The 25,060-nt window shown below is 37.4% G+C and overlaps 1 protein-coding gene across 9 annotated transcripts in view; it reads right to left on the bottom strand.

Moving 5' to 3' along the window:
• The window catches only part of CD109 (CD109 molecule), a 149,122-nt gene that overhangs the window by 54,325 nt on the left and 69,737 nt on the right, over window positions 1–25,060 (bottom strand). For all 9 annotated transcript variants that reach the window (XM_047418211.1, XM_047418212.1, NM_133493.5 and 6 more), the window contains 10 exons: window positions 17,307–17,346; window positions 14,961–15,045; window positions 11,509–11,605; window positions 11,107–11,248; window positions 10,304–10,413; window positions 7,835–8,059; window positions 7,129–7,230; window positions 6,979–7,041; window positions 5,758–5,934; window positions 2,408–2,560 (listed from right to left, as the gene is read on the bottom strand). In XM_047418211.1, coding sequence (XP_047274167.1) covers window positions 2,408–2,560; window positions 5,758–5,934; window positions 6,979–7,041; window positions 7,129–7,230; window positions 7,835–8,059; window positions 10,304–10,413; window positions 11,107–11,248; window positions 11,509–11,605; window positions 14,961–15,045; window positions 17,307–17,346 — 1,194 coding nt within the window. The remainder of the gene's footprint in view (window positions 1–2,407; window positions 2,561–5,757; window positions 5,935–6,978; window positions 7,042–7,128; window positions 7,231–7,834; window positions 8,060–10,303; window positions 10,414–11,106; window positions 11,249–11,508; window positions 11,606–14,960; window positions 15,046–17,306; window positions 17,347–25,060) is intronic.

Here is a 25,060-nt window from a genome sequence, read left to right as displayed (position 1 = left end):
TCACTAAGCTGAGTTGACTGAAGAACTCTCCCAGAGAAACACAGAAAAGACAAAGAGATAGAAAACATAAAACAAAAAACTAAGAGATGTGAAGGAGGAAGTAAAAGTGCCAATTTCTGAAAAACAAAAGTCCCAGAAGGAGAGAAAAAATAAAATGGGGAGGAAGAAATAATCAACACAGATTTCCACAATTAAAAAATGAAAGAACAGCATAGATTGAAAGGCAATCTATGGTAACATGGAACTAAAATCTGTACACGAGCAAAATGATCTGGCCAGGGTAGGAGGAGAAGGAGGAGACAGAGGTAGAGACCAAAAGGAATAGGAGCATACTAGAAGATTCAAATACTGATAACCTTTAGAAACCAACAAGGATAAATTAATATGGGTACAGTTTGTAACTAACAGAGTAACAAAAATAGAACGCATAACTTCTAAATCACCAAAACAAATTTAATCTAGCCCACAGAAAAAGAATCTAAATTTTAAAATATAGAAAAGCAGAAAAAGTCCCCATTAGAAAAAGAATTACCATACTTATAAGTGGATTAAATAAAAGCTTATTAAAAGATGTTGACTATTAGATTAGATTGAAAAACAAAAGCAAAATATAATAATATGCTATTTAAAAGATACACTTAAAAATTTACAAAAGGTTGAAAATAAGAAATGTAAAAATACACCAGGAAAATATGAACCAAAAGAAAGCTGAGAAAGCAATCTTAATATCTGAAAAAATTTAATGTAAATATGCATATATTATATGTATATATAAATATACTTGTAAATATATATATAACACACATATATAAATGTAAATAGAGACAGAGTGCGCAGCACATCAGATGGGGTGTGTGTGTATGTGTATGTATACACACACGTACACACACACAAACATACACATATGTAGGGAAGAAAAAATGAAATAATATATTTACCAAGATATTTAGAAAGCTATAAAATAACAGATACTATTATATTCAGTTAAATCAAATGCAAGATCTACAGACATAAAACTAATGTGAACTCAGGAAAAGTCAAAGAGAGAAAAATGACCAACTGGTTGTAAAAAAAAAAAAAGTTTTCAAAAAAAAGAAAAGATTGAAAAAAATAGTTGTGTAGACTGAAGAAAATGTACAATTTTTCTGAAGTAAACTAAATTTTACAATATAATGACCAAATCAACCCAACTATATATAGTTTTCTTTCTGATGTATTGTTAATCACTCTACTGAATCCATTAATAGACAAAAATTATACAATCTAGTTTACAACTGACAATGGTACACAAGAATATATCAAGGACATATAAATAAAAATCAAATGACTAATGAATATGGGATTCATTTATGCAATGCTAGATGTTCATATACTTCTTGGTTTGTAAGTTTTCTGCAGAGTAACATGATTTCACCCCCTCAATATACTGCAAATTCCTGATTCAATGGGAACTGTAATTTTTTTTTTTTTTTTTTTTTTTTTTGAGACAGAGTCTTGCTCTGTCACCCAGGCTGGAGTGCAGTGGCACGATTTCTGCTCGCTGCAAGCTCCGCCTCCTGGGATTCATGCCATTCTCCTGCCTCAGCCTCCCGAGTAGCTGGGACTACAGGCGCCCGCCACCGCGCCCGGCTAATTTTTTGTATTTTTAGTAGAGATGGGGTTTCACCATGTTAGCCAAGATGGTCTCGATCTCCTGACCTCGTGATCCACCCACCTCGGCCTCCCAAAGTGCTGAGATTACAGGCATGAGCCACCATGCCCGGCACAATGGGTGCTGTAATTATTTATAACCATTACGTATAACCAAAATAGAACACACTTCAAAAATTATCTAAAGCTCTCTTATCCAACGTAACCCAGAATAATGCAAGTCAATTTCCTAGTACTTTCTTGAGTGTCTTAAAATGTAGTATGAAAATGAAGGAAAACTATAGGTGGCATTTTTTATTGTATATATTTATGGAGTACAATGTGATATATTGATATTTGTATATACTGTGGAATGATTAAGCTAATTAACATATCTATCACCTTGCATACTACATACTGATCATTTTTTGTGGTGAGAACATTTCAAATCTACTCTTTTAGCAATTTTCAAGTATATGGTACATTATCATTAACTACAGTCACCATGTTGTACCACAGACCTCCAGAATTTATTCCTCCCATCTAACTTTAGGTGATAATTCTGATGAAAGAGAGCAAGGACACTTAACCACATAAGCTTCTTTCCAACATAACCATTACGATACAGATTACTTTTTATTTGGAAGCTTTACTAATTATTGACTTACACATGCAAAGGAACTAATGAAATTTTCTTTAAATATTTAAAGTAGTACAATAAAGTTTCCTCTTTCTCTTGTAATACATATTTTCATAATGAAAAAATAGCTAAACTCACATTTTCCATTGTAATATCATTAGAGGCATTCATCAGATTCACACTTTTGTCAACAGCTACAATCCCAACTATGGAGTCAGGCTGTGTCACAGAGATCCTAAGAGAGACTTTCTCAGATGGTTCAGCTTTCACTTTACTCCAATATAGCTTTATCTAAAAAAGAGAGAAAGGAGGATTAACTTATTTCACTTTTTTAAAGCATATTCTTGCCAATAGCAGACCACTGGCCCAAAATATAGCAAAGATTCTACATTTGCCTTGGCTCAGGGATAATTCTAAAACCATGCATAACCCTTCTCTAGGGAAAGGAATAAAAAAACTACGCCCAGAGTGTTTGCAAGTCATAGAACTTCTCACAGTGGTATAAATCTGAATTATTCTTTAATTCTGTATCTTTTTTCTTCCCTTTCTCCATCTCCCACCCCTCAGATCCCAGCCAGTGCTGAGTAGAAGACAGCAGTGTCTAGCATACCTGGGGAAGGCCAGTATACAAAGGAGAAACACGAAAGAGGAAAGAAACTGCAGATGCCTACATGTTGGTGACGTGAGCTCAGAAGTGAAGGCAAGGAGAGCTCCTCGGGGACTCATAGAACCACCTGGACTGAGGGTGAGGGGTGGCCTTTCCAAGGGAGTGGGTGGTTAGAGCAAACACTAGTCCAGGCCCTCATGCTCTGTCTCCATGGCCTTCTAAACTTCCTCACCATTACCCTCAGGAAAGCATGGTCCTGGACCTACTAATACTTTATAAAGAGCATCAGTCATCGCATCACCGCTGAACCAAATGGCCTTGTCATGAGGCCCCTGCCTACTGGGCATTTTCTTTTTTTGTTTTTGAGATGGAGTTTCCCTCTTGTTGCCCAGGCTAGAGTACAATGGCACAATCTCGGCTCACTGCAACCTTTGCCTCCTGGGTTCAAGTGATTCTCCTGCCTCAGCCTCCCAAGTAGCTGGGATTACAGGCGCCCACCACCATGCCCGGCTAATTTTTGTAACTTTTTTAGTAGAGACAGGGTTTCACCATGTTGGCCAGGCTGGTCTCCAACTCCTGACCACAGGTGATCCGCCTGCCTCGGCCTCCCAAAGTGCTGGGATTACAGGCGTGAGCCACAGTGCCTGGCCCCTGCTGGGAATTTTCATTTCATCTAGCTCTATCTCAACATTCTGCTGTGCCAATGATTATAATGCCTGACAAAGAGGGCCTTAACATTCCCCTCAAGTTGACTCGACTTTACAAAGACAGGCTTCTTCCTAACTATAAGCCCCTGAGCTCCCTTTTCTTAGAGCATTTATTTTAGAAAACATGCAATTATAAATTCTTTCTCCAACTCTCTGAGATGTAAATCTTTTCCCAGCCTCTGGCCAGTTTTACAACCCAGGCATGTCTTTCTCAAGGTCCTCAGAGCCATCCCTTTGAAGTATAATCATCAAGAAAGACAGAGTCCCAATTGATCTCATTCTCTGTGGGAGGGTGGAAACCTAACTTCAGTAAGTACTAATTAGCAAACACAGACTACCTAATCACATTGACCAACCTCCCAACAATGTCCTCCAGCACTTTCATATGAGTTCACCCCAGTGCTTAAAAACTCTTCTGCCTTTTGTTTCAGCAGAGTTGAGTTTATCATCTCTCTCTTCCATTGCAATAGTCTTGAATAAAGCCTTCCTTACCTGTTTAACTTGTCCAGTGCAATTTTTTTCTGACATGCCTCTCAAACCACTGTATGTAGGTTACTTTCTCCACCTACACACTAAAGCATGGGGGAGAGGGAGCAGCATGTTCAAGACTCAGTCTTAGACCTTGTACTTCTCACTCTATACTCTGTACCTCAGAGCCCCATGGCTTCAACTTGCACTTCTGTGTGGATGATTTCTAAACCTAAATCTCTTGCCGCTCCTACAGCTCATTTATTTATTCCATAGTCATTACTGAACATTAATAAACATTCACTAACTTTCTCTTGCTTAGACATATTCCATTTCTAATTATGTTGTTTCTTTATAAATGTGATGATTATCACATAAAAATAAGAGAAAGATATATAGTTGCAAATGGAACTGAAACTAATTCCTTTCTCTTATAGCTAAGAAATTACTTGAAAGTATGCTATTCATATACTCTGCTTCCTCAAAGTCCGTGATCTTTTACACTGTAACCAGCTTTAGAACCTGGTCTTGCTTTCTGAGATGTTTAAGCCTCCATAACTTCTACTTTAAAATTCACCTTTGTCAGGCAATTACTAGGATCACTAGAAGTCAAAAATTGTGCTCTACCACTAACAAAACACAGTGTTATCTTTTTAAGAACTCTTTTCATAAGCTAAAAAAATAGAAGTTTGTATTATATTTTAACAATCAAAGTGAGAGTAATAATTCTCAACAAAACTAAAGTACAGGCCTGGCGCAGTGGCTCATGTCTGTAATCCCGGCACCTTGAGAGGCTGAGGCAGGTGGATCTCCTGAGCCCAGGAGTTAGAGACCAACCTGAGCAACATGGCAAAACCCTCTCTCTACCGAAAATACAAAAATTAGCCAGTCTTATAACCTAGTCTCAAAAAATAAATAAATACAAATTTTAAAAAAGAAAGTACAGATCACTACTGTTACTTCTCAAATATTTTAACAAATAAAGGAAAAAGAAATAGAAGAACCATACTCTGCAAATCACTATTTAAAGGAATAATTTTTTACATAAGAGGATGGAGAGGGCAGCAGTTGTTAGTGACAGCAATGGCTCATTCTTATATACATGAGATGATGCAATCAGGTTTCTTTTCAGAGCTGGGGTCCAAAGGGATTTCCTACTCAAGCTGGTCACATTAGGCTATAAAAGGCACTGGTGCACTTGGAGACCAGACTCCACACAGATCCTCACATGCAGGGTAATCAAGCTCATTGAAAAGTTGCCCTGGGCTAGTTTCCAGCTAATTAAATAGATTAATGAAAGCCCAGCTCTGCTTCTACGTATTATCCTAGATGGCCTCACTCCTTCCCACACCCTTTATATCACTGCAATATCAACACCACACGAATTCTATGTTACCACTGGAATTTCACTCCTGAGCAATATTAATTCAACCATTTGAAAAATTCTGAAACAGCTTCATGATCTGAGTTAAAGTCTTAAAGACCAGAACCATAGTTTACAAATAGACTATCAATCCCCAATAACTCCACAAGTGAAAATATATATGTAATGCTAAATATTGAAAAGTTTAACCATAGTTCTAGAAATAGAATAATATAAATTTCTAACCAGTTTGGCTTAATGATACTTTTCTAAAGAAATATTACATTTCTCAGACTTCACTAATATAAAGTTTTCTTTTAAACATCATTACCTTAAATCTTACCTTATTTTTAAAAACAAGCTGAACAGGAATTTTTAGAACATCACTTATAATTTCCCCATCATCTTCAATATAATACACAATTACACAGGCTTTTGGAGTCCAAGAATTTTCTGGTGTTAAAGAGAACATTGTTGAATTTTGTTTTCCTACAGCCACCAACTGTCCCCTGGATACTACCTGAAAAGAACAGTAGATGGGTTTAATTTATTGCCAAACCTAGTAGGATCTCATCTGAAGCTACATTAATCATAATTGTATGCATACACACAAATTCTTGAATTAAACCAGCTTCAAAGTCTTTTGGAATGCAGGAAAACCTCTCTGACAAACACAGAGAGCATACACTGAGAAAAAGAAAATGGTAAGATTAAAGTAATACTGATTGGAGCAACAGTAGCTTCATAGTCAAGAATCTATTTTTGATTGCAAGGAATACAGGGCACCATTGGGAAAGCTGAATTAGCAAAATTACATGGTCATGGATAGCACTTTTTATTTTCTTTTTCATTTTTCTTACATTGTATAATTTTCTATAATGAATATATATTGCTTATCAAATAGAAATTTAAATTTTAAACATAAAACAAGGTTTAGTTATCTATTTTAAATTGGAAATGCAAACATAGGTGAAGAAATAAAAAAGGTTTTTTATTTGATTGCAATGTTAAAACGACAGGCTAAAAAGGTATGAGGCTGAGTTATAAAAATTAATAAGTTTAGTGTAGATATAAGGTAGACACCATTTAAGATGATTCTCAACCTAAATGCCCATCAAAGGTGGACTGGATAAAGAAAACGTGGTGCACATATACTACGGAATACTATGCAGCTATAAAAAAGAATAAAATCATGTCCTTTGCAGGAAGATGGATGGAGCTGGAGGCCACTATCCTTAGCAAACTAATGCAGGAACAGAAAACCAAATACCACATATTCTCACTTATAAGTGCACACTAAATGATGAGAACACATGGACACATAGAGGGGAACAACCGACACTGGGTCCTATGGGAGGGTGGAGGGTAGGAGGAGGGAGAGGATCAGGAAAAATAACTAATGGGTACTAGGATTAATACCTGGGTGATGAAATAATCTGTACAACAAACCCCCATGACATGAGTTTAGCTATATAACAAACCTGCACATGTACCCCAGAACTTAAAAGTGAATAAAAAGATGATTCTATAATAGATCATAAATTTAGATTCTATAAGAGATTACCATATAGCTTAACTCCTTCAATCGTTTGTTGCCACTAACCACCAACTCAAAAGGCGATCCCACCTAGAAAAAAACCTTAATTAATATGTACATATCAAAAGCAAGATAGTCCAATTATATTGTAATTCTCAAGTGAATTGTAAGCATTACCTTTATATTTTCATCTCTTGTTTTTAGTTGGATGTATGTCTTACTAGGAGACTTAAACAGACTATGAACTGCCATGCTACTTTTACTACCAAGGAAATAGGCCTATAATAAAAGAAAAAGGAGCTGTAAATGTTCATCTTTAGTAACACCTTGAGAAAAGATGTTACCTGCTGAACAATTATTAAAGACCAAATTCATCTTCACTTTTTTTTAATGCAAGAAAAATACATTCACCAGACATTGGATTTTCATCATTTTATAGCTTATACTGTAAAGAAACTGATAGCTTTAAAACACAGGAAAGGAATATATATATATATATATACACACACACATATACATATACATATATATGTGTGTATATATATATATGTATATATATTTATCTTTCATTTCAATTCCTGCCAAAATAAAATTTCAAATGACTGACCTCAAACACTAGACTGGGGATTTGAGGAAATTCTCCATCATATCTTCACATTGCTATATTTTACTGTGCTCTTCAAAATGAACTTACAAGGAAAAATTTAGTCTAACCTTCAGCCACTGTCATTAAATTACTTTTACCACTCTCCTCCATTTTGTGAAACAGAAACATGTGTCCACTTCCTATGTACTTTCAGTTCTGACAGGTTGAGTGCCTACCACAAGATTACAACTGTAATGGTGTTGTTGCAGTGACACAATGATGGGAAACAGACGGCACCTTCAACTGTAGCTCACTGGAATCCTCCAGGATTGGGAATTCAATCTTAAAAGTTCCACTTTGGGGGACAGTATAATTTATTTTCTGAACAGCTTCCATTTTCTGATTTCCACTGTTAGATCCGCTCCAGTACTCAGTATAGTTTCTCTGTGTCACTGTTATGACTACATTATTTCTTCTTTCTTCAAGAGTCAGTTGGTTGCCATCAGCACGAGTTACCTTCACCTAATGGTCAAAACAAAACATCTTAAAAACACAAAGGATTTAAGTACGATTAAATACAGTTTCCGTCTGTAGTATTCTCATGAAATTGAACTCTCAAAAATTATTGGTAGCACTATAATATCCAGATTCAGTGGCCTCTCTCTAGGAGGCATCCAACATCACTGATTACTCCCTTGTTAATATTATGGATTCCCTTAACTTCCGCGGCTCCAAAATAACCCCCTTCACTTCCTACCTCTCTTTCTGCATCCTCTCAGTGTCCTTTTCAGTTCCTCTTTCCTCTCCCTAAATGTGGGAATTTTGGACATCTGTTCTTCTCCCTTCCTCCAAGGTCTCAGCAATCCTATTGCTTAGCTTGTCATCTCTGTGATTGTACCCTAAAGCCAAAATTCCCATCCTTGCCCTTCTCTGGAGTTCATGCCCAACACCTCCAGTTACCTGCAGGAAATTTCTACTTGGATATCCTGGACACCTTGAATTCACATATCTAAAATGAGCAACCATGTCATTTTCCTATTTTCGCTAACATCAGGATTTTGCAAGACTTTACATTTCTGAATTTTCCCTCCCTCTCCCCACCCCCCAAATCCAATGAACACCAAAGTCCTATGCTTCTCTCTTCCATCCTCTCCACTCCCACAGCTACCACCACAAGGCTGCCCATCCCCTCACTCCTGGGCTACAGCCATCCTCCTGCACACAGCCTGAGCAGTCTCCCTCAAACACTACCTGAGTGCACCCCGAAATTGCCAGCCAGACCTCTCCTTCTTGTCTCACTTCTTATCTTGCTCCCCACCTCCCACTCCCATGCCCAAGCATTTAAAACACAACTAATCTTTTAAAAAACAGTTTAGACCATCCTCTTCCATAAAGCATCCCATAGTAACCCCCATGCCTATCCCACAGCCAACTCTCCCCCTCTGAACGCCCATGGTTTCACTCTACTCATTCAGAAATTACCATTTGCAGCCTCAATTTTTTAAACTGACCTTTTCAAACTGCCTAAATTAAGATCATTGAAATCAGAAACTACCTGAAACGTCTACCGACCCATTCAACAAGTGACCCCTCCATTCTTTCTTTGTCGTTTTAGTTGTTTTTTTTTTTTTTTTTGAAATGGAGTTCCACTTTTGTTGCCCAGGCTGGAGTGCAATGGCGCAATCTCCACTCACCACAACCTCCGCCTCCCGGGTTCAAGCGATTCTTCTGCCTCAGCCTCCCGAGTAGTTGGAATTACAGGCATGTGCCACCACGCCCGCCTAATTTTTTGTGTTTTTAGTGGAGATGGGGTTTCTCCATGTTGGTCAGGCTGGTCTCGAACTCCTAACCTCAGGTGATCCGCCTGCCTCGGCCTCCCAAAGTGCTGGGATTACAGGCATGAGCCACCACGCCAGGCCTGACTCCTCCTTTCTTTAAATCAGAGATCAGCCAACTACTGCAAGCTGATAGGCCAATCCAGTATGTTTGTAAACAAAGTTTTACTGGAACACATTCCACTCTCACTTATTTATAAATTGGCTATGGCTGCTTTCACACTACAATGGCAGGGCTGAGTAGCTGTGACAAAGACCACATGGCCACAAAGCTGAAAATATTTACTCTCTAGCCCTTTGCAGAAAAAGTTTGGCAACCCCTGCTTTAAATCCCTACAGAAATTAATTTGTAACACTAATCTTAATCTGCCATGAGTTATAGTTAAGTATATATTTTCCTGTCACCATCACAAAAACTGTGAACCTGAGGGTAGGGACTGAGCCCTTCTTGGCTCTATAGCCCTGCCCAACACCATGCCTTGCTCATTGTCAACATTCACACAATTAATGTGTTAATTCAACATTATCTCCAAAAAATGAGATTTGTTGATAATTTTTTAATGTAACATCTTTGTTAGAACTACAATTAATCATTATAAAAACCAAATTGAAATTGAAATTTTTGACTACCATGTAATTATTTCAATTAATTAATAAAAGCTTCAGTGTAGCAATCCACATCTAACTTAAATTGCTTGTAAAAAAAAATACATTTTCAAAAAATATTTTTACTGTTGTTGAAAACTACTTTTTTAGAAAAAATAGACAAAGGTCATTTGGAAACAAATCTACATGCCCCACATGTCTAAAGAGACAAAGTTATATACTTTTTGGCTTAAATTTTTAGAAAAGCATTGAAAATATTATTTCCCATTCTATTTCATTAAGCTGAACTTACTGCTATGGACTGGAAATAAATATACCAACTTACAGTGGCTGTGAAGTTGAGAGATGGCTTCAAGACAGTAGTATAATCAAAAAACTCAATGATGTAATCATGTTGCTTGAAGAACACATTAGTGCTTACATTTCTTGAAATACCTTTTTTGGAAATTGCACAATTTAGAAAGCAAAAGTAATGTTTCACCCAAAGCTTCTATCCACCAAATCTCTCCATCTAACCTATTGCAAAAAGGGTTAAAAATATCAGGGCACATAAGCCTCATTCCCATATTGACTTTGACACTACAAGCACCACACAGTTCTATTATGTTCTCTATGGATCCCCTCTAAGCACCATTGCTGCCATTCTACCGCAGTGACATGTACAACAGCAGCAAATTAAGGCCAATGAAAGAATAGTCTTTTGCTCTTTCAGGGATTGGCTAAAGTTGTTGAAATAGTAACAGAAAGGTCCAAGAAACTCAACTTTATTTTCTTATTAAAAGTGAAAACTGTCTAGGAACAGCTGAGATTTCAGTGATTTTAAAAAGAAGAAGGTTACCAGCTGAAAATGTAAGCCTTTCCATGTAGTTTTCAGGGGGAAAGAGTAGAAATGGAAAAAAAAATTAAGAAGAGCTATCACATGTGGTTGAAGTAGTGACTTTCATAGAAAATAAGGTCCCCCTTATAAAATCATCCTGCAACTTAGACTAACAGTCATAACAATTTCAACATTAAATAGCATCTTTAGAAAGTCAATGATGCTCCCAAATGAAAGTGCCAGTTATAATAAGAAAGATGATAAAGCAGTGTCACATGAATAGTTTTACCTCCACTTTAAAGTCTACAAACCTGTAACTGATTCTGTCACTGTGGTTAAAATTTCTACTGGTCCAGGGGAAGATAGATCCAGGTATTCAGAAAGTCCATTTGAAGAATCCATTACATTTTTCATCTCTTCATCATTAAAAGAGAAGTTTGCAGATCCATTTATCTGTTTTGTTTAAAAGTTCAGTATTATTTACCATTTTAGCAATTCAAATTTTAGAAATAAAACTCAAACTAAGTCACAACAATATGATAGCTCTGGTACCATTTTAATCGCTATAATTGCATAAATTCTCATTTGTTCAATGCTGGAAAGCTCTTGATTTTCTTACACTTAACTTTTTGTTAATTCAGTACTAAATCTTATTTCTAGAAAAATACACATATTTTACCCATCACAAGTTATAAAGTGTCTGCAAAAGTTACCTTAAATGTTTTTGTAATATTTTTCTTCTTTCCCCAAAAGGATAAAGGTAAAAATGTAAGCGTTACGTCTCCTTTCACTGGCTTCCCATATGTATACCTGAATAATTATAAACATAGTCTTTTTATGTATCAACTTGATATTGTCAGAACACAATAAAAATACTACTTTCAATAGCATACATTAGCAATTAGCAATCTAACATTTTAAAAAATTACATTGGGCTGGGAGCGGTGGCTCACGCCTGTAATCCCAGCACTTTGGGAGGCCGAGGCGGGTGGATCACGAGGTCAGGAGTGCAAGACCAGCCTGGCCAACATAGTGAAACCCTGTCTCTACTAAAAATACAAAAATCAGCTGGGCATGGTGGCAGGCACCTGTACTCCCAGCTACTTTGGAGGCTGAGGCAGGAGAACTGCTTGAACCCAGGAAGTGGAGGTTGCAGTGAGCCGAGATCGCATCACTGCACTCCAGCCTGGACAACACAGCAAGACAGCAAGACTCTGTCTCAAAATAAATAAATTAAAAAAAAATACATTATGGGATGGCAAAACACTAAAAAGAGAAAATTTTAAAAAGAAAAAAGTTACATTAAAAACATACTCCTACTATAATTTTTTAAACTAAACCCAACAAAAATGTCTTTAATAAACGGTGATCCTGGATGGGCACGGTGGCTCATGCCTGTAATCCCAGCACTTTGGGAGGCCGAGGCTGGTGGATCACGAGGTCAGGAGTTCAAGACCAGCCTGGCCAAGATGGTGAAACCCCATCTCTACTAAAAATGCAAAAAAATTAGCCAGGCGTGGTGGTGGGTGCCTGTAATCCCAGCTACTTGGAGGCTGAGGCAGAGAACTGTTTGAACCCAGGAGGTGGAGGCTGCAGTGAGCCAAGATCGTGCCACTGCACTCCAGCCTGGGCAACAGAGTGAGACTCCAACTCAAAAAATAAATAAATAAATAAAAAATAAATGGTGATCCTTGAAATTAAGTTTCCAAAATGGGAAGACTTTTAACTATAGTAGCTTAAAACAGTTCTTAACACACACTCTGCCCAACCTCTGACCATCTGAAAGACTCCAGAAAATACCTGATCATAATTGGAAGTGACAGTTTCCTGTCCAAAGATTTTTTAAAGATTACATAAATCTTTCACTCCTAGAAATCTGGACTGGCCCATTAACTGAATGCCCACGAAACTTCGCAGCTTTAGAAGATTTTTAAATGTCAGCTGATAGTGCAATCACCATGGTCTATTGCTACATGTTCCAATATTAGCGAGGAAGGTTTATTACACCATAGATTCTGAAGCACCAAATGTGCTCATGGCTGTCAAAAATTGATTTTTTGCCAAAAAATTTAAAATAAGAATAATTTTTAAAATCTGTAGTACCAAACTTAGTTTCTGGGTTTGTGTGTGTGTGTGTGTGTGTGTGTGTGTGTGTGTGTGTGTGTGTGTGTGTGTGTGTTTAGACACAGTCTCACTCTGTCACCCAGGCTGGATGCAGTGGCATGATCTCGGCTCACTGCAACCTCCACCTCAGGGGTTCAAGAGATTCTCCTGCCTCAGCCTCCTGAGTAGCTGGGATGACAAGCGCACACCACCACGTCCAGCGAATTTTATTTTATTTTATTTTTTGAGACAGAGTCTCGCTCTGTCACCCAGGCTGGAGTGCAGTGGTGCGATCTAGGGTCACTGCAACCTCTGCCTCCCAGGTTCAATCAATTCTCTGCTTCAGCCTCCCGAATAGCTGGGATTATAGGCGTCTGCCACTACACCCAGCTAATTTTTGTATTTTCAGTAGAAATGGAGTTTCACCATATTGGCCAGGCTGGTCTCAAACTCCTGACCTCAAGTGATCCACCCAGTTTGGCCCCCCAAAGTGCTGGGATTATAGGCACGAGCCACCTCACCTGGCCCAAACTTAGCTTCGTAAGTCAAATATTCTCTGCTACTTTTCTTTCTATGTATTAATTTTATCCTCTCTCATTATAGGAAAGTCTCTTCATGTGAAGAAGAGGCAATACATTTTACTGCCAGAAAGGCTTTTTTTTTTTTTTTTTTTTTTTTTTTTTTGAGACGGGGTCCCGCTCTTTAGCCCAGGCCGGACTGCAGTGGCACAATCTCGGCTCACTGCAAGCTCCGCCTCCCAGGTTCACGCCATTCTCCTGCCTCAGCCTCCCGAGTAGCTGGGACTACAGGCGCCCGCCACCGCGCCCGGCTAATTTTTTGTATTTTCAGTAGAGACGGGGTTTCACCGTGTTAGCCAAGATGGTCTCGATCTCCTGACCTTGTGACCCGCCCGCCTCGGCCTCCCAAAGTGCTGGGATTACAGGCGTGAGCCACTGCGCCCGGCCCAGAAAGCCTTTTTTAAGTACATTTCCTGGGTTGCTTCTATCTCTATTGTGAAATGCTGAGCCAGACATGGAAGTCAATTTTGCTTTGCAGTCTATAAATCACAGCAGTAAACGGCGGCTTCCTGAATCCATTAACTGAACACAGAAACAGCCCCTCATCTGGATCAACTCAACTCAAAAGCAAATCTTAAAATATAGCATATTCCAAACTAAGAAGAAAAAAAAAAAAATCCAAGTTCAAATGCACCACACTTCCAAACAAAAACAGTAAAGTCAGTGGAAACCCTGGTTAGCAACCTGAGCATCAAATTCACTCATTCAAGAGTCTTCGAAACCTGACTCTACTTGTATCGTGCTAAAGATTAAATAAAAGCAAAACTAGAATGCCAGGATATTGTATTTTAACAGAGTTATATCACATGGTAGTAAAAGGATCTTTAAAATCCAAATATAATTTAAAGTACTCTCAGACATAAAAATTTTTAATTTTGACTTTAATGTGAAGCAGATTTAGTTTTCCAAACACCAAGCTGGTTATAATAATTGTGAAACAAAGATACAATTATTGTCCCAAATAGAACCGGGAAGCATTTGGGATAAGTTAATCACTCAGAAAATAAAAGCTTGACTAATTTTTAAAAAGCAAATCAGCCCAGGAGTGGTGGAACATGCCTGTAGTCTCAGCACTTTAGGAGACCAAGGCAGGAGTATCATGTGAGGCCAGGAGTTCAAGACCAGCCTGGAGAAAATGGCAAGACCCCATCTCTATAAAGGAAAAAAAATTAGCCAGGCGTGGTGGCTTCAAGTCCATGTCATCTGAAAAAAAAACAGTGCTATCTATAATATAAATCCCTTAATAAGTCTAAGAAATATGGGAAATATTTTAAGACTGGGTCGGCTTGCAAGCAGAGTGATAGATGCAGTGAAATGTGGAGCTCTGTCCCATGCTTAATTATTTATTATAAATAGTCATTTACTGTCCACTAAGGTATTTTAATAAGCAAAAATTGCCCTAATATTCTGAAGTATACAATCAGCTTTTGGTCACACAGTTTTATAATGGTTTTGAGTCATATCAAAAGAAAAATGACACTTACTTTGCCGTGATGGTACCATTTAAATGCTTAGAATTCATAGAACAATATAATGGTGTCTGCAAAGTCACTTCAAATTTTGGTAATACTGGAAAAGAAAAGCAAGGGTAAATCTTTTTTTCTTTTTGAGACGAAGAAGCAAGGGTAAATCTTTTAAAGAATCTACTTCACTATCATCTTCCACTGAATAAAATGAAAAATAAAATTGTTGTGAAGGAGTTAATAATTTGTACTATTTGAACTTAAATTTATTAGAATCCAAATACATATTAAGACAGATGAAAAGCCCTTTGTTTCACCCAAAACTAGAAATCCCTAATTTGGTCAGCTTTATATAATTAAGGTATGAGGCTGGGAGTAGTGGCTCACGCCTGTAATTCTAGAACTCGGGAGGCAGAGGCAGGTGGATCACCTGAGGTCAGGAGTTCAAGACCAGCCTGGCCAGCATGGTGAATCCTATCTCTACTAAAAATACAAAAATTGTTGGGCATGGTGGTGCATGCCTGTAATCCCAGCTACTCAGGAGGCTGAGGCAGGAGAATCGCTTGAACCCAGGAGGCAGTGGTTGCAGTGACCCGAGATCATGCCACTGCACTCCAGCCTGAGTGACACAGTGAGACTCCGTCTCGAAAAATAATAATAATAATTAAGGTATAAACTATTTTATAAGTACTAATACTATAATTGATATAAAGCACTCCACCAGAGTAAAAAATGTGTGTTTCTTTACAGTCGATAAAACTTTTTTTCTATAGTTCTCTGACCAAAGAAACAGGCCACTCTCATAACAAGGCACCTCACCATTCAATTAACATAAGAGAAGTATCAAAAAAGCCAAATAGTCAACAATATAGGGCAGACCTTCAGCTCCAATCAAGGCTAATGGCCCTGAATGTACCAAGACACTCCTAGACTCTAGATCAGTCTAGGACAGGGAGACCAAAAAGTCACGTGAGTCAACTATGACCCCGCCCCCGCAACCCCCACCACCAAGAAAATCCAAATGCCTCTTCCTCAAACATCATAGGTTTGCAATCAATTCCCCACCTCCACTATACCTCATTCAACAACATACAACCACCCAGCATACCATCACAATGGGATATAAAGATAGCCTATAAAAATGTTGGTCCCCTATGACTTATTCTTCTAGATCAGGGCTGTCTAAAAGACATAAAATGGGAGCCATATGTGTAATTTTTCATTTCTAGTAGTCAAATTTTTAAAGTAAAAATAAGCAGGTGAAATTAATTTTTATATTTTACTTAACCCTATATATCTAAAATAGTATCTTTTCAACAAATAATAAAAATTTAAAAATGGTTATTAATGAACTATTTTTCTTTCTTTCATTTTTCTTGTACTAAGTCTTTGACATCTGCTGTCTCCATCTGGACTAGCCACATTTGAAGTGCTCAACAGCCACACATGGCAAGTGGCCCCGCTACTGGAGAGCACAGTTACAGATCAGAGTTCAGCAAACTATGACCAGCATGAACCAAGAACATTTTTTACAATTTTTAACTGGTTGAAAAAAATCAAAAGAAGAAGAATATTTCATGACATATGAAAATTATATGAAATTCAAATTTTCATGCCCATAAAATAAAGTTTATTGAACCACAGCAACATTCATGTACATATTATCTTTGGCTGCTCTCATGCTACCACGGCAAAATTGAGTAGTAACAACAGAGACATATGGCCCACAGAGCCTGAGGTATTACTACCTGTATATTATAATTTCTACTGCCTAAATAAAACCCAATCTCAAAAAAGAAGCTCAAATCAAATGAAAAACTGCATGTGCAACCTCAAAATAACTATTCAAATTATAACTAATACTAAGATCCTATGCTTTCAGTCTCATCTCTCATTCCTCTCCATTCACCAACAAAATAGATGGGTCCCACTGTTTTTATCTATGGGTTTCTAACAGATATTGTAAGTATGGCACCTGCAAGAAGAGGATTTACCTGAGAAACAGACCATCTTTACCAATGTCAATCAAATGAAAAATATGGAAGAGAATTTGTTAAGTATTTTTAAGTGCAACACTTTAAATATTTTTTTATCACAACAAAGTAGAAAAATAGAAAAATCATGTTGTGGATAAGAAAAAGACTAGCACAATGCAACTATAGGTGATTTTTTTCTACTTTTTTCTGTATAATGAGATTTTAGAATTTTTACAAAGGAAAAAAAATATGGTTAGGCCTTTAAAAAACACCAGAATTTTAACTCCATTGAGATTTTTACTTCAAATAATACATCTCTTAAAAATTTCTCTAATCTCTGCTGAAAGTAACAAATGTTTTTTTCTTCCAAAATAGATTGAGGAACTCTTACCATATTCTGAAACCTGAAATGATTGATAGTATGTCTGGTCCTATTGGGCAGGGGAGAAAAAAAAGACAGGAAAGTATATGAGTTCTTATTTATTTTGCTTGCTTACTTACTTGCATAAAACAATTTAGAAAATTAATTTTTAAATTACATTTATAATGATGCAATGAACAAACTTGTTTATTTTCATTTATGGAAGTGTATTTGTAGACAACTGCAACATGAAGCCTGTAAAATTTCATGAATTTTTCTTGCCAACCCGTTAGCATAAAATGGTGACCTATCTCTATAATTCATTGCGGGTCATTTAAACAAACTGCTTAATCTGACTTCCATCATTTGTGAAATAAGAACTAGATTAAACTAGATAATTGAGGAATTTATGAAGCAAAGATAACACAGGTCAAACTAACAAATAACTGCAGATTTGTTTTGGATATCATTATCAAAAATTAATGGAGAAAATGAAGTTACACATAACTCAAATACTTATAAATAATTAAGGATGCAAAATCTTCATAGAACAACATGCCTCACTTTTCCAATTCCTTGAATTATTTTCTACTGTAATTCTTAAATCAATACATCCTATGTGGTTATAATAGATACTGTTAATTATTTCCTTTTCCACAATCAACAAGAAAACGTGGGCTATTATCGTATCATTTATCTAACTCTTCATATTTCTCCTTTTTTTGTTGCTTTTGTTTTTGTTTTTGTTTTTTCAGACAGGGTCTCACTTTGTCACCCAGGCTGGAGTATAGTGGCACAAACACAGCTCACTGAAGCCTCAACCTCCTGGACTCAAGCGATTCTCCTGCCTCAGCCCACCAACTAGCTGGGACCACAGGGGCAAGTCACTATGCCCAGCTAATTTTTTTTTTTTTTAAGTAGAACAGGATTTTGCCATGTTGCCCAGGCTGGTCTCAAACTCCTGAGCTCAAGCAATCACACCTCAGCCTCCCAAAGTCCTAGGATTACAGGCATGAGACACCATGCCCAGTCAACTCTTCATATTTCTAAATCGCTCATTCTAAATCAAGGTAGCACATTAAATAGAACCTCTCCAAATTGGCTATGTAATTCCACTAATGAAATTTGCATTGTAAATTTAATTCCCAAATTTATCAAATCAAACACGGAGATGCAGCTATAAAATAATAGCTTTTGTTAACAAGTACCCTTGGTTAATCTAAAATATCTGTACACCACGAAGTTATTTTTCAGTCCTAAAAGAAGGCCATAGTTCACTTCAAAATATAAAACAAATAGAACCACTAACACGCTAACAAATAAATTGTGTATCAATTGGCTTCAACATTGTCATGTAAAGAAGATCCCATCTTTGGTTAGCTGTTGTTGAAAAATAAAAGTTTTAAAAAAAGAAAATCTCAAAGAAATTTTGTTGTTTTGATCAAAGTCTTAAGAAACTTCATATTTATGACTTCTATCTCAAATTGTTTTCATATCATATAGTAACATTATAAATTACACGTATTTGATTCATTTATAAGTTCTAACACGTCATTCTCAAAAGTCAAATCAAGAAGGTAATTTATCTATTACCTGTTTTACTAATGAACATAAGAATGCTAGTCTTTAAGTTAGTTTTTGCTTTATTACTGAGGCCAGCACAGACAAGACTATGGAATAAGTAACAATTATGATGTTTCTGTTTCTCAAGTTTCATTCATATAGCAAACATTAATTGAGTAAATACAACATGCAAAACACCATGTGAGGCTCTATAAATCACAGTCCTCAGCATTAGAGAGTCTAGTGGTGGAGACAGACATAGTCAAGAACAATAATTCAAGACTGACAGTGTCCTGGGGTTTCATGCACTGTGTTTTTGCTCTAACTCTTGCCTATTCTTGACTTATATGTACTTCCATCCCTCCCCATTTTCCAGGGCTTAGCTTAAATATTACTACTTCACTTTTTGATCATTTTTATATCCCGCATAGTTTATCCCTTAGGGTGCCAACCTGTTATAGCACCTAGTACAAAATAAGTGCTCAATAAATGTGTGTTTGATTAAATAAAAATTATTAGCTTTTACAAATATAGGAAATCAACTTACTTATTTGAGCCTACTTTAAACAACAGCCTGAAACTAAGTTTTAGGTCATCATTTGTTTAACACATAAGTAGTTTACATTAGAATATTTGAAATGAATTCCATCTCCCCTCTGCCTCCTACATTGCCAGTCCCTGATCAATCCTGGATTTTCCATCTTTCCATTGACCGTCTCCTTCCCCTCACTCAGTCTCTAAACACCATTGTCTTTTGTTCTCTTGGTATTCCTAATTATCTCTCTGACCCCTTCCTTGTTTCCTTTATGCATCTCTTTCTGATCCTTAAATGTTGGCCTTTCCCATGCTGAGCCCTCTTCCCACTCTTCAGGCTCTCATCAGCTCTCAGGGTTTTAACTGCCATTCCTAGAATAAAGACACCTAAATCCTTATCTCTATCCCAGATTGAGACTCAAATCCACCTGCCAGACATCTCCATCTGAATTTCTGACAGAATGTCCTGGATTTATTGATCTGGATTTAGCCTCTTTCAAATAGCTTTTCTTGATTGCCCTCTCCCCATGGTGGATTAGATGCCCCTTCTCTCCTATAATATCCTGACTATAACTCAATCATCTTGCCTAACACAGTATATGATAATCATTTGCTTTGTGTCCATCTCCTGTAAGAGACTATGAAATCCTTGAGAGCACAGAACCTAGTAAAGCATGCCTTCAACGTTTGTTGAATAAACATAAGTATAAATGAATAAATGAGTCAATTCTTGTCCCCAGTCTGGTTCCTACAGTGCTCAACAGATCAGCCTCAGTTATCAGGCAGCATCTCCTGCAATACATTAAAATAATCTTCTCTTGAGAAGGATCAAACAACCCTGAAGAGGCAAATGACCCACAGAGTAACCTTAACTCTGCCCTTTAAGGAAGGAACATGAATGCCCCAAGGAGTGAATGCATCCAGCCATCATAGAAAAATGAAGAACACAAAGGAAGAAAAGTACTTCTTTTCACTGACATTTTAAATTGTTCCAATAAATCTAGAAAACATTTTGGAAGTGGGTGCTGACAGTATGCTTTCTACTACACAATGTCTTCCCAAGGTGCTCATATGTGGTAAAATGCAAATCAAGAAATAAATTATTTTACTGTCCAAGGGATTTGAAAAGCAGAAATTAGTTTTGTAATGTCCAGTGTATTGTCCATTAGGCAAACAGACCATACCAATTTTCAGAATTAATTCAATTATTTTAATGAGATATATAATCAAGTACAAAAGATACTGAAATATTTAAAATTAATAATAATTCAGAGAATTAATAGCCATTTATGCCATATATAACCACAAAAACACTGATACTGAGTACTTTCATTAATCTAGAACAGGGATCTGCAAACTTTTCCTGTAAAGAGTGGGATAGTAAATATTTTAGGCTTTGCAGGCCATATGGTCTCTGTCCCAACTACTTAACAATGCTGTTGCAATGCAAATGTAGCCAGACACAATTTGTAAACAAACGAGCACGACTATGTTCCAATAAATCTTTATTCACAAAAACAGGTGTCAGGCTACATTTGGTTTTTCTGCCAGGGTTTGCTAACCTCTAGTTTAAAAAAAGGAATAAAATGTATTTCCAAATTGTTCAGTGTTCGTTCTAGGTGAACTAAACTAAATTTGACTAAACTTTACTAAAAACATGGAGCAAAAAAACACAGTCTTTTCGTAGGAAGTACAAGTTTCTCTTATGAAACAATTTTCCTTCACTTTCAAAATAATTTTATCTGCTTCAAAATGAGTATTTGTGTTAACTGTAGTTCATCAAATACAGTTCATGCTCATTCACTCTGCCAACAACTGGAAAAAAGACCCTAACCTGAAGGCTTAAATACTTGGGCAGCATGTCTTTTAAGCAAACACCTCCCCAGGCAAGAGAAGCATAACTCATGTCTCCTGAGCTCTTCTTTCCCCAATATGGTCACTCTTCCATGGGGAAAGCTCTCTCTTAAAAACCTGCTCCAAAGCACATCCAGTAGAAACTCTCTGTTTCTACTGGATGTAAGACGGCCTTGATTAGATTTTCTAAACAACTTCTAAAGCAGAAGTAGAAAATAAGAGTCAGCAGGTATTCTTAGCAACCTCTGTAATTTCTCTACCTCTTGTCCCTGAGTCAATAATTCATTGTGAGGGTGTATGTTACAGAAATTAGACAAATGAAGTGGGAAAGAGAAAACACATTATTTTTACCACCCTTTTAAGAAGTATGTTATGACTAGAATACAAATTGAGACATGTGAATTACTACAACCATCTATTCCAGTTACAGAATTTTTCTTCCCTAACCATGATGCCATCCAACTCTTGAGTTTCTATTTTTAACAGATTTGAAGAAATATAGCATATTACATGACCATTAAAAAATATATTTTAAAATGCAGGTCAGTTTCTTTCAACTCTTGCTTCTGGAGTAAAAAGCAATGCCAGAATCAAAACTAAGGTGCTGGTTGGATTATTTCTGTTTGTTCATTATGTTCTTTTATGGTCATTTCAATTCCCTAATAGTTTGTTTTAGCACTACTCTCCAGTGTCTGGATGTACCTTTTACTTTAAGAAAGGCACTGAATTTGTTAAATCTGCACATAACGGGAGGTTAAAAGGGAACTATTTCAGACTCAGTTTTGCGTTTAGCCCCCAAGACAATAGATGTCAACTATGTCCACCTTCCACAGGTGAAGGATGCAGGACCTGTAAAGGAGGTTTCCAAAAACTGGTTTTGTAACTCTTAACCCATCACCAAGGTGGAAAGGTCAAGATAAAAATAAAACTAGAAGGGAATTTCAGGAGAGAGCTTTCGATGAGCTAGGAGTGGCACTCACCCCACCCTGGGGCATCAGGTAGAGTTGCTTGGCCCTCATTTCAAGCCTAGGGAAACGGGCTTCCATAGACAATGCAGACAACTAGGTATGTGTCCCTGGGAGCATCCTCAAGCTGTCAGTGAGCAGGCTGTTGACACACCTGAAAACTCTAAAGGGTATAATATTTGTGCTGGCAGTGGAGCTAAGAGTGTGCTATGCTAGGAGTGGTCTGCATCTCCTGAATGTTCAGGATCAGAGAAAGCATGAGCATTTTCCCTCAACTAGATATGCCAAAAGAGCAAGTCAGCATGGAACTGTTTTCTATCCTGATCAAAACAGCCTTAGTAGGAATAAGGCAAGCCCTCAGAAGAGGGAAGCTGAGGTGTGTGATCTAGATGCCCAGCAGCTAAAGATGGAGTTATGAGCTGCCATTTGGAGGAGACAGATTCAAAAGCATCCAGGGTACTTTGGATGAAAGACCTCCCCACAATCTTAAGGGTCCTCCTAGGAATACAGAAAGGAGTTCTAAAAAGGAAAAATGTAGTTTTAAATGCCGTCTTAGCCCAGACAGGTCTCATGCAGATGACAACAGTATTACATTGAACCATATTAAATTGACATTTTTGCAGGACAAATATTAGCAAGTTCACATGACTCATCCTTATACATCAGATGAGAATTTTGTTACCCCTCACTTCTCTTTCCTCCACCCAATTCAGTCTGGAGGAGTCAAAGGCAGCCTAGTGAGTTGGAGGCAGGCATCCAGACCAAAGAAGACCCGAGCTGGAGAAGGGAGCATTTTATTTTATTAGACTGGACATATTAATTACTGAATGTAGACTGTGTATATGAAAGTAACCGAACATGACAGGACCTTTTGTTACCAAAGAGTAACCATAAAAATGATGAGATTTTCCCTACATTTTATCCAAGGAGTAGGGAAGAATTCGTCCCAAAGAACAGGACAAAATGGCACAAAAATAATGTGCTTTTTTACTTCACCTGTCAAGTAATAAATGTTCAACCTCACAGTTACACATAAATAACTGGGCATGAATATGTTAAGTAAGAATAGGAATACCATAACATAAATGAAATTATATTGCTGCTGCCTCCACCAGATAATCATATTAATTCTCTCCTTCTTAGGAACAGAAGTTGTAGACTATTATATACATTACCCTACATTACATAGCTATGTTATGTATAGCTATTTATGCGCTTTATTGCTCTTGAAATCTCGATTCTGCCTCTCCCATTTCACTGACCCCAGAAGATGCTCGGTATGCCAGGTTGCTTTCCTCTAACCGCCTGTCACCTTTCTCAGGCCTCACTCCCTTTGAGGCCTCTGCAGCACCTGGAAAGCCACTCTCTCTGAATCTCTTGCCCTCTGCTCTGTGCCTGAACTTGCTTGCTTTTCTCTTCCCAAAACTGGCTGTTCTTTCTCTATTGCTTTGGATGGCTTCTCTGCTTTGCTCCTAAATGTGATTTCTGATGGCTCAGTCCAAATACATCTAGCTCATACCACTCACCCAAACTGAGCTTCCATCCCTAACTTCCCTAGAACTGATATGGGTGATTCTCCCAAAGACCCAACTTGAAATTCCCAGGTACCTTTTGCTCCTCTTTCTTCTCTGCTCCAATCGAAATCCAGTCACTAATCCTAATGATTCTGCCTTTAAGTGTCTCTTGAATTCATCCATTCCTCTTTAATTTTTTCTGCTCTCTTACCGCAGTCCCCCATTACCTTTGAACTTACTAACACTGAAGGTATTCGATTATAAGCTAACATTGAAGGTATTCGTATATTTGTTAAACAATAATACTAACCCCCTGGTAGTCTCCTGGACTTTAGTTTCTCTCCCTCTAATCACCCTACATGCTGCCACCAAAGTGATCTTCCTAAAATACAACTTTAATCATGTCATACTTTTACATAGAAACTTTCTACTAAAGCAATAAGAAGACAACACATACTGATGATTTTTGTTTGTTTGGAAGTTTACCATAAGGGTGTCATACTTTCTACACTATCATGTTTGGATGTTTTTACCTTACTCATGCATTACTTTTATAACCAGAGGAAAATTATGAAGGTATGATCCTATAACTTTTATAATTTGAGAGACCCATTCACACACATTTTGTTTCCTTTGTCCTCAGAAGTCCTATATTGAAATTTGCATCACTGATTGAAATTCAAAGTAAAATACACAAAAGTTTTTAGAGCTGCCTGTTGTCTACAAAATGAAATACAAAATTTCAGCCTGATAGCCAATATCCTCCACAGCTCGGCCCACAAACTTCCCCACCTTTCTCTTCAACTACTACTCTCTACAAGCCCTCCATGCCAGCCAGTGCCTGCTCCCAGCCCCACAGCCCTGTCAGCCAGCTCAGAGCCCACCACTTCCCATCCAAATCCTACAGTCCCCTCCAGCCCTATCTTGGACTTGTAAAGTTGTGAAGATCCTTAAAAATCCCTTGATCCAAACCCCTTATTTTACAGCTGAGGAAACGGAGACCCACAGCTGAAATGCCATGCCCACCATCACTTAACTAGAGCACAGTACCCAGGTCTTAGGACTCCTAATCTAATGCTCTTTGCATTTGTTACACGAAGCTTTTCTGATTGTAAGCTCCTTGAAAGCCAGGTCTGTGTCTTGTCACCTTTAGATGTGTACTGACTGGTGTTTCTTCCCACCCTCGCATACAACACAAAAGCTTCATATTTTTAGCTTTATTCCGATCCCTACTAACCTGACTATGCCTAAACCTATTGCCTACGTAATAGCAATCATGTAATACCCTATTTTTCCCCTCTTTTATTTTTACCATAAAATTGGGAGAGCTTAAAAATAAAAAAGAAATCACAAT

This window comes from Homo sapiens, chromosome 6 (assembly GCF_000001405.40).
Source record: "Homo sapiens chromosome 6, GRCh38.p14 Primary Assembly".
In the NCBI taxonomy this organism is placed as follows: Eukaryota; Metazoa; Chordata; class Mammalia; order Primates; family Hominidae; genus Homo; species Homo sapiens.
The sequence above is the reverse complement of the archived record's forward strand: the minus strand, read 5'-3'. Positions and strand labels throughout refer to the sequence as shown.